The sequence below is a fragment of the Homo sapiens genome (assembly GCF_000001405.40).
Source record: "Homo sapiens chromosome 15 unlocalized genomic scaffold, GRCh38.p14 Primary Assembly HSCHR15_RANDOM_CTG1".
Lineage (NCBI taxonomy): Eukaryota > Metazoa > Chordata > Mammalia > Primates > Hominidae > Homo > Homo sapiens.
Window position 1 is genome coordinate 225,844 of NT_187382.1, and position 11,310 is coordinate 237,153.

The 11,310-nt window shown below is 37.6% G+C and overlaps 1 long non-coding RNA gene and 1 pseudogene across 1 annotated transcript; both read right to left on the reverse strand.

Annotated features, from left to right (window-relative positions):
* Nucleotides 1–1,332: 1,332 nt before the first annotated feature.
* LOC102723592 (neurofibromin-like) lies at nucleotides 1,333–7,751 on the reverse strand (annotated as a pseudogene).
* Nucleotides 7,752–7,791: 40 nt separating this feature from the next.
* LOC124900616 (uncharacterized) lies at nucleotides 7,792–11,085 on the reverse strand. The gene is made up of 3 exons (XR_007068540.1): nucleotides 11,053–11,085; nucleotides 9,509–9,592; nucleotides 7,792–8,113 (listed from the first exon to the last, which is right to left on the reverse strand). It is a non-coding gene; the product is annotated as an uncharacterized LOC124900616 (long non-coding RNA).
* Between the last annotated feature and the right edge of the window lie 225 nt (nucleotides 11,086–11,310).

Genomic DNA, 11,310 nt, shown 5'->3' on the forward strand with positions numbered 1-11,310 from the left:
AGGATAAACCTTCCTTTCAAAGGATATTGGTGTGGGGGACCCAGATTTACATGCAGAATATCACGTAACTATTTTTTGCACAATGCCTCAATAAATTAATATTTCCTGTCCTAAATTCACATGGCTGACTCCAGATTAACTCTGGAATCGGGATTATTTCACTTCATCCTGTTCAACGCAGTGCTTCATGAAGTCCACATTTTAAATGCATTCTTATCACTGCTTATAATCTCAAAATAGCTTTCTGTAATCTCTAATAGGAAGTTAGTAAAAATTAGATCTTAGAGAATAAAGTATTTGTAAGCGGTGAGGTGTAACAATATAGTCCCACCTTCAGTTACACTACACACAGTTCAGGAAGCTTTCTTTATGTTACAGTGTTTATTGCATGAAGAACAACCTTAACCCTTCAATAAGGGGAAACTGGTGAAGGTGGCTAAATATAGCTGCTTTATTAGAATGGCTTTAAAACCTAAATACCATTTATTTTTAGCTGAAATATATAAATTTAGAATTAGATATAGAAGTTTTAGCTAAAACTATAAAAAGATAAAGAATTAAGAAAAAATTTGAGTGCTTCGACTATTCCAGTATAGTGTTCAACCTTCTGGGGATGAGGAACCTCTTTGAAATCTGATAAAGGTTAGAAAAATGGATGTATGCTTTCACACAAATTTCTTCACATAATTTTAGAATATTCATAGACCATCACTGCTACTGAGTGGTTCTCTTAAAACTCCCAAATTTTAATCTCAAAACAGACAATTCTCTGGTTGGGCATGGTGGCTCACACCTGTAATCCCAGCATTCTGGGAGACTGAGGCTGGTGGATCAATTGAGGTTAGGAGTTCCAGACCAGCCTGGCAAACATGGTGAAACTCCATCTCTACTAAAAATAGAAAAATTAGCTGGACGTGGTGGTGCACGCCTGTAATCTCAGCTACTTGGGAGGCTGAGGCACGAGAATCGCTTGAACCCAGGAGGTGGAGGTTGCGGTGAGCCATCGTGCCACTGCACTCCAGTCTGGGTGACAGAGCATGCAAGTGACTGTGTAAAGTGATATGTAAAGTCATGGAAAAAGGAAAGAGCCTTAACTAGTAACGGTCTGTGGAGGTAGAAGTCAAAGACATCCTTCTCCTGTCTGTCCCTGGATCTAAGGCAGATAAAAAGAAGGATAACTTAAAAAAAATTACAGATATCATTAAAGAAAAGCATATTTGTATATAACTTTTATAATTAAAAACAAATTTTAATGATCAAGAGGAGAAGTTATGAGGGCCTTGCTTCATGCAGTGTTAGCAAAAAAAAAAAAAAGAGCACTTTTATGTGAAAAGATGATAAAACTGGTAGGATCCACTTCAAAGCTAACATGTTGCCCATCAGAGGATGTGATCTCAATTCGTAATAAAGCATCCAGGAGTTTTTATAGATAGGTAGCACCATATACCTATAGAAATGCATGAGTAGGACTTCATTATGCCTGCTCCATACATTTTACCTTAAAAGAAGACAATCAGCTCTGCACATTCTGTACATAATCATTACTTGACATACCTCAGCACACACACACACAAAATGAATGATACAAACCTTGAAACAGAGTGTCATTATTTTACTGGCCAAACTGTTGCCTCAGAGGAGAGTCTGAATGGAGTCAGTCTGCCAATTCTACTTCTTTACAAAACATGTTCCAGAGCAGTTGGTAGAGTAAATGCCAAGAACCAAATAGAGTAACCAGAACTCAAGCCAGTTCATCCTGAGAACAAAACAAAATCAGGTTAGTGCATTTTTGTTCTCAGGTAGATAGCTGAAGAGTGGCAAAAACATAAACCCAAAGTTGACAACTACTTGCTAAATTAAGGCAAAGGTGACTGATTAATATTTCTCCTGAGATTTATCTGCGTATATTGTTTATGATAGATGACTATATACGATGTCTACGATAGCTGTTAATTCCAAGGATTAACCGGTGAAAGCTATTAAGAGAGGCCTAGGCTTTACCAGGAGACAAAATCTCCAAGATTCAGTTCAAATTACATCACAAAATGAAAGAGAACAGAAACAGAAGATGACAGCAAATACTTTAGTTTGATTTGTACAAGCATTTGCACAGAGCAGAAATAAGACTGATGATCAGAAGAGTTCTACTCTCTTCTCATACAGTCAGGGGAACTCAGTGAATGCTGAACATAGACTAGGTAGAGACATGACAAAAACAGAAAGACTATAGGATTTTTGAGAAATCAGGAAGAAAAGGAACTGGGCGTTCAGAACCCAGAGATCAGCCAGATTTACATACAAAGCAAGGGGGACAGGGATGAGGGCTGAAATTCCAATTACCTAAATGACATCCTTGTAACTCCCTGTAGTAAAGCAGTTTGGGGTACACTCAAGAAAAATGATCTACTGGTAAATCACTGTTTAATCACAAGAAGAAATTTATAGAGAATAGGGGTAGCCATAAAAAGATGCCTCAATCCTCAAGCAGTAACAACAACGGCCAGGATCATGGCCCATAGCTCTCTAATTCTTGCCTGGTCCCAGGATTACAATAATGTGATAGGTGAGATCTGGCCTAATAGAAAATTCCTTCTCAAAGTCATTTAATATAAAACTCAACAACAAATTAAAGCTACTTGAATTTAACTGATTCTTTATTTAAAAAATTACTGAGTATTTTCAGTGCTAATCATAGGTAGATCCTAATAAGATAATTCACAATAGTCATTTTCAAAACATTTGAACGTTTGTGAAGTAATTTTAGGCTTTAGGAAGATTTCAATGATTTGGCGCTGTTGCTAACCAATCAGTATAAAATTTCAGTTATACAAAGTAAGTTCTAGAGATCTGTGGTGCAGCATTCTGCCTACAGATAGCAATACTGTATTCTACACTTAAAAATATGTTAGAGGGTAGATCTCATGCTAGGCGTTCTCACCAAAATAAAATACCAGAGGAGAAGCATTTCAGGTGGTAGCAGCAGCAAGGGTGCTTAAGGCAGAAACAAGTCTAACAAGGAGGGACAGAAAGGTAGCTGGTGTGGCTTTGGTGAACAAGAAGGAAAATGGCATAAGATGATGTTAGAGATGAGGCAGGGCCCAAATCAGGTGGAGCCTTGTAGGACAGGATAAGGAGTTTGAATTTTACTTTAAGTACAGGTGTAACAAATATCCTACAGCTTTAAGCAGAAACAAATCTACAATGACAGATTACCTTATTAGTTATACTTTACTATAAGTGAAACCATTTTTGGTACACTAAAAAGGAAATAGCCTTTTAACACTGGAAAGGAACCACCACCCTTCTCAACGTTTTCACATGTATTAGGAATGATGTGATTTGAGGAAAATTTTTCATTAAATTAAGAGAGAGACCTAATAGCCATATGATGTTTTCAGTGTTTAAAACAAACAATATCATAATATCAAATGCAAATACAGTGCTTACATTTTTAAAAGTTGTGTAAGATATTATGGGGAAAAGAACAGCAAACTGGAGGTAGTAAACAGGCACAAATCGTGGATTCCAATTCCAGCGTTGCAACAACTGACTGAAATTAGGTTTAACTTAATTACCTTCTCAAATATATGAAGACAGCGGAGTAGATCAGTGATTTTTAATCAGTGTTTAAATGGAATTTTTCAGTGGGATGAAATGATATAGGACACTATTCAGGTCTAGCAGTGCCAACCACTTCCCTACAGCTGAAAAGTCACCTAACTAAACATCTAAGATTTCTTCTGGCTCTAAAATTTTATCAATTCATTCAACAAACATTTATTGAACAAATATGTTCTGAAGGATTTGCTATGTGCCAGGCACTTTTCTTCCCCACTTACTCTATGCACTTACCCACTGAGAACAAGGAACCACACTGGCCAGAGCCATCGCTATAGGGAGCTCTCCTTGATCACCCATCACTGTGACCAGTTCCACCAATTGCTCAAACCCATCAGCCAATACCGTTTCTGAAGTGTGTCAAATTCTGTGCCTTGTTGAGGGATTTTCATCAGAACTTCCATAAATGTAGCTGTCTGGAGATCCTTGTAGTACCCTAAACCTGATGTGGACAAATGGATGCAAATTTACTAACATGGCCTTACTGAAGTAATTTTTGCTTATCTTACAAGCCAGTTCTCTAGGCTGTGTATTTCTATATGAAACTTTCATTTGATCTCACCTATGGAGTGCATGAGACCACCGTCTATGCTGGCACTGAGTAAGTTTGACATTGCAAGGACTGCACAGTGCCTCCGTGATGCCAACCTCCGAGACATGCCACGTTTCCTGCCACCTGTTTGTGCACTTTCATCTTCAGCTTCACTGCAGTCACTCAAAAGGTTCATAAATAGTGTGAAGTATCTGAGAAATAAAAAGACTGACCTTTACATAGCAAAGGCCGTATCAACTAGAAAGCTAACCAGACATTCCAAAACTATCACATGTGCACGGTGTGACTGGCCCTGGATTAACTGCTTCTCTCCTCTCTCAGGATAATCAGCCAGGGTGACTCATTATGAAGCATGCTGTGTTGGGCATGATTATACCTGATATAGCCTAGCATACCTTTCATAACATAAGCATCAAATAGATGCAATGTTTCCTGGTAAATGTGTCATTTTTAATGTTTAGTATATAAAATTAGTGGTCCAAACAGCTTACACAATGTCACTTTTGTAAATGACTTAGTGAAGCAATCTGGGTTTTATTATAAGCAAAATTTCAGGGATCATATTATTTTCTTTAAAAATCATAAAACACAGTTATTTTCCTAATCCTAGTCCTGCATGGGGAACATTTCTTTGTTTTCTTTTTTGTTTTTTTGTTTTTGTTTTGTTTTGTCTTTGAGTGTGTGTGTGTGTGTGTGTGTGTGTGTGTGTGTGTGTGTGTGGCGGCGGGGGGCTTTATTTGCTTTTGCTTTGTGTTTTTTGGTGACTGAAATTTACTTAAGAAATAACTGTGTCCCCTTTGGCTTCCATCAATTCCACACCATCTCCTTCCTCAGGCTGCACAGGGAGACCAGCTAGAAGTGAAACTACTGCTTCCATGCTTGCCTGGTCCAAATCTCTGAAAAAAAAAAAATTAGAGACCATAAATCTTTCAGGTTATTTCACTTCCTCTCAAATAAACCTCTTATTAACAGATATAAACTTTAGGAACTACCTGTTTCATTAAACAAATTATTAGCACAACCCAAATAATTTGAATTAATATGCAGATCCTAGAATACAAAATCATCTCAAATGAGGAGAAGACAATAGTAACTTTCTACAAAGTAATCTTGGCAAAATGACTATCTTCAATCAGAAGCATGTACAATTGGCCCTCTGTCTCAGCGAGTTCTGTATCCACGGATTCAACCAACCATGGATTGAAACTATTTGGGGGAAAAAAAAGTAGGGTTTCATCTGTACTCAACATGTAAAGATTTTTCTTTGTCGTTATTCCCTAAACAATATGGTATAACAACTTGTGTTTATATAAGATTTATATTTATTAGATATTATAAGTAATCTAATGATAATTTAAAATATATGGGAGGATGTGCATAGTTTATATGCAAATACTATGACATTTTGTATCAGGGACTTCAGTCTGTGGATTTTAGTGTTCATGGAAGTGAGATGTGGGCAGGAGTTTGGGGGGTGGTTCCTGGAACCAATTCCTGACAGATACTGAGAGACGACCATATTATAAAGCTAGGCTTGGTCAAAGAAACATATGTAAAGGCTTATTATACAGTCCATAGTGTTTAATCACTTTCTGATATGTGTCAATAAGCATTTATCATTAAAGCAGACTTAATTACACTTAATTACTTCCTTTTTTTTCTGTCTCTGGTGCCTGAATCAGGAAATCAATTATTTTTTAGAAAGACCAACACAATGAGTTCCTCAAATAATACCTTTTTCTATCTAATCATAACATAAATGCAATCTGAGGCTTTATGTACCTTATTTCCCAATAACGGTAGACTATTCTTCATAAACTGACAACACTAACTTCCCAAACATACCGCTCTCGCACATTTATTTTTACAGAAAGTCTATCAGTCAAAAAAAAGTAGTAATAAAGATTAGTATCTTTACATATTTCAACCACAAAAGTTTGACATCTAAAAAATTTAAATACACATAAAATACAAGTATAAAGCTGTAATGAAGTAATTATAATTCTTACAGGAAAACCCACTAATACTTGAAGGTCATTCTCTTTTTTACCTTGTAATACATTTTACATCATCATCTGCTGCTTGGTTTGATGTTCCCATAACCCAGACTGTCAGGTATTCTACAATCTTATTCCTAAAGAATGGCGGAGAAAAGAGAAACAGCCAACAATTTTTTTGAAGCCACACACACACACACACCTTTAATTGTGTAAGATTTCTTACAGTGCAAATAATTTGGCAGATAACCCAGGTGACATGACGACTTTATAAAAGAGATACTGATGTCACAGACGTAAAAGCCAGAAGGGAACAAGCAACGTGGATATTTAACCTCCAACATGGCCCTTATTTATGGTATCAAATTGGAAACAGAATCAAATTCTTAGCTCAAGTACAGCACAGTTTTAGAAAAATGGAGGCTTGCCACAGGCACAAAGCTTACGGAAATTTGAGGAGAGACGTAGAGAAACACAAACGTGTAAATTGCTCTCTTTTTATGTCTTCCTTCCTACCAATAACCAGATATCTACTCTATTTCTGTACTTCATTCAACAAATTAAGATTTACAAGACCCTACATTGCTCTTTTGAGAACTCACCTAAATTTCATCTCTTGGCAAAATAAGAGGTCATCTCTCCTTGCCATCGTTACTTCAACCAACTGACACAGTTTCGTTTTTATTTGAATTGCATGGACCATATTCCCAAGCACACGAACATACCTATACAGACACAGAGACGATAAAAAAATTATCAGATATAGACAAAAGAGAAAGCATTCAAAGTACTTTAGTCATCAAATAAAATGAACTACATGTAAGTCTGAAAACAATATTTATTTTTATGAGAACATACACACCTTCTGGTTACCTGACTGTCACACCCTAGTTTGTGTGCAGTAAAGAATGGCAAATTATTTTATCAATTACTACCAATATCAATGTGTAAGAGGTTTTTCTGATCTCTTAAAGTATGTTTCTGCTACATTTCAGTAGAACGCTTACCTGACCAGATATAACATCATTGGTTCAATGCTAGCTTGCCCTAGATGTTCAGAGCTGCCTTCAGTATGATTATCTAGCAAGTTCTTCATTATAGCTATGGTTTGCTCTACAAATTGAGTGTTGGTATCCGTCAATAAAACCTATAGAAAGAACAAATATATTAATCATTTGCCATCAATGCCCAGAAGACAGACCTCTAGAGAGATGCAACCGACTGATCTAAACACACAAACACAGAAGTGCACCCACAGGCACACAGCCAAACAAGCATACAGATACATGCAGACACTCATACCCATACACAAGGCAGGTATACCCTCAGGCACACATACACACCAGAGTTCCTAAGAAGCAAGCTGACCCCTACATTGAGATGACTCTTCTTTCTGCAATTTTTTGGCAATTTTTAAAAACTGTGAGCACCTAATTTAAATAATTGGAAAGAAAAAGCCTTCCTTATTTCAAACAAGGTGAAAAATAAAAAAGAGCACACTTTACCTGTCCTTGGGAGTCAAAAAACTTGCTGATGGCATTCTTCAGTTTGTTAAATAGCATCAGATAAAGAGCAGGACTCAATTCTAGACCCACCAGTTCCTTAACATTGGCCTGTATTTGAAGTCCCACTTTCTCATGGTTACACACCATTAAGGACAACAGCTGATCCATACATTTGCTGACAGGTGTACCTGCGTTTCCCTCTGAGGACATCACTGAAATCATGGAACCCTGACATTCACTGACTGGACCCATGGGTGGGCTATAGGTTGCCAGGCCAGAATTACTTCTCTGCTGGAGGCACACTCCCCCAAGGGCACAAAGGAAGCCAGTCATGTTGATCCATTCCTGTAGGGAGTCTGTGTCAGACAAATCTGCGCATCCTCCTCCACTCAGATGGGACATTCGACTCCTAACAATGGTCATGTGAAACTTTCAGCAGCCTAAACACAAAATTTTTGGGCAAAGCATGAATTAAACCTAAATTAGTTGAGACTTGACAAATTACTCTTTATCCAACATTTCTTCCATGACAAAAGTACAAAAAATGTAAAAAACACATTAAAATCAACCCCAAAAATTACCATATACATTTTTAAAGAGCCACTGATTTATTTTTGTCATACACTAATATAATCGCCCAAGTATCAAATTTCTTTTAAAAAGCTTTGATTTCACATGGATGAACCTTGGAAACGTTATGCTAAGTGAAAGAAGCTAATCACAAAAGCCCACATATTCTAAAATTCCATTTACAGAAAAGATCCAGCAGAGACAAATCTGCAGAGACAGAAAGTAGATTCAAGGTTGCCTAGGGCTGGAGAAGCCGGGGGAAGAGAGACAAGAAAGTGGCGGGGAGGTGGGGTAGGGTGTTAGAGGCAGAAATAGCTAAAGGATACAGGGGTTTTTTTCCTCAATTGATGAAATTGTTCTAAAACGGACTGTGGTAATGGTTGCACAACTCTGGGAATATACTAAAAACAGCCACTGAATTGGACACTTTAAATGGGTGAATTGTATGGTATATTAAACAGTTATCCCCCCAAAAGCTTTCATTCTAAAGCTACATGTCCCCTCCAAATAAAGCTATTAGGTACACAATTTTGCTTCATAAAAACATAACATTTTTCTTATTGTAATTAAGTATGACAGAAAAAAACATGGGGGAATAACCAGTTTATATAAATTGCCTAATAATGGGAGGAATATGAACATTACAAATCAATTACACACAAACACCAACTCATCAATTTCCAGAGTAACAGATAATATAGTCAATAGTAATAGTTGAATGAACTGTCCACATTTTAAAATCTCATTTAATCTATGGGTTCAATCTTTTGCCCAAGACATTCCTTAATTAGAATACTTAACAAAATAGCAAAATGAATTGTTTCCATGTTTTTTTTCTCTACCTCTGTTGCTCCTTTTCTGAAAATTCTGTGAAACACCCTGATGAAGGGATAAAGAGCAAGAAAAGATAAATGGTCTCTGCAACAGTCTCTAGCAGTGCTGCCCAGTATTTCTGTGATGATGGAAACATTTTCTCTCTCTGCTGTCCAGACTGTCATATGTGGCTACTGGGTACTTGCAATGTGGCTACTATATGATTGAGGAACTAAATTGTATTTAATTTTCATTATGTTAAAATTTAAATAGTCACACGTAGCTAGTGGCTACCATATTACGAAGTACAGGTCTAGATAAACCACAACTAAATATCAGTCTTCAGACAACTATATGCTTACTTTACTGAGTGACTCGTGAGAGATTACCAAAGAGAAGGACATATATTTAGCAGATCAGTTAATAGACAAAAGTCAACTTTACAGACTTACCTGGCTGTCATCCATTTTGGCTTTTGGATAGTTAAAGATTAGTTTTGTTGCTTGTTCCCATTTTGCATGTGTATCTTCCCAAGCCTAAAATGAAGGCAATTATCACTTGAAAGCAACTTTAAGTCTAGAGCTAAACGTCAACCAGCAATGGCCAAGTTTCAAACTTGATGTATAATAAGTACTCAGATATTACACTTCTAACACGCACATATCTTGGATTTACTTCAAAAGCTATTCCTGATTACACATATGTAACAATAGGTTTCCAAAATTGAGGGTGGGCGCCTAGGAGGGGTGTTTCTCTTGCTAAGAGCACACCTCAGTGTTTCCTGCAGTGGGATGCTAAGTGCGCCTCCGCAGTGCCATCACTCTTTCTGAAGTGCTGCTGTTCCTAAGCAAATACAACAGCCAATCAAGTCACTGCACTTAGAGCCCTGCCTGCCCATGGAGAACCTCATAAGCCCTACCCAAAAGGCAGAGTAGGAGGAGCAGAGCAAATGCCTCAAATGATAAAGCCAAAAACTTCCTTTCACTAACCTCACAGGAAAGGTACTTATCTTAAACTCTACAATGTCCACAGCACAAAATAGCTATTCCCACCTATAATTTACTCAAAACATATGCCAATGTGCATAAAACTTCACTATCTACAACTTAGGTGGGGTAAATTATATGATCACAACTGATAGTAACATATACTGCCAGTTATTTTTAAAACATATAGCATATTAAAAACTCACTGGGAGACTATTTCAAATGCTTTTTCTTTTCATCTTTGTTTCATTTCTTTGTTCAGAAAAGGATTTCAAGTAAGCTACTTGAATCTCCCCTGTAAACTTACAAAGTAGTAACCTTAAATACATTCTCACAATTAGATGCCACGTGCTTCAGGCAGGTTGAGTAAAAAAACCACTATTCACATTTACCTGTTGACATCACATTGCTGACAGAGGCAAACTCCATGAATGTGCTACAGTTGGGCAAGAGGTGATGCACTGACACTTCATCCACCCCACACCAGGTATCTGCTTCCTCACAGAGGTGGCGGAAACAGGACATGGCAACCAGAACAGCTTCACTGTCAGGGTTCCACAGAAACATGTACAGCGCCACACTTCTAGTTTGGTCTGCCCTTGTTGGCAAATCGGGGAGGGGGGGCGGGGGCGGTTGCGCTTCATCCTGCTGCACTATCCTGAGAGTCAAAGTTGTAAGACATATATTTGCAACTTGGGTAATTTTATGTATAAAACCCAACAATGCAATAAACTGCGTGTGTGTGTGTGTGTGTGTGTGTGTGTGTCTCAGCATACAATAACTCACAAGAGTTTTCTCCTTTAATCATCACAGGAATTTTTCAAACCCTCAAATATCTTGTCCAAATGAGAAATGAGATTATCTGGACCAACATAAAGCTACTCTCTGTCCAATTTCAAATCAAATAGGTATTATCCTATTCCAGATTCCAGAAACATAAACTGATTCTAACATAAACAGGTAAAACACTGTAACATAAATCTGCTGCAGTAATGATATAATGTACTTACCAGTCAATTAGAAATGACAAAAAAAGAAGTAGGCTGGGCATGGTGGCTCATGCCTGTAATCCTAGCACTTTGGGAGGCCGAGGTGGGCGGATCACGAGGTTGGGAGATCGAGACCATCCTGGGCTAACATGGTGAAACCCCGTCTCTACTAAAAACATAAAAAAACAATTAGCCGGCCGTGGTGGCGGGCACCTGTAGTCCCAGTTACTCAGGAGAGGCTGAGTCAGGAGAATGGTGTGAACCTGGGAGGCGGAACTT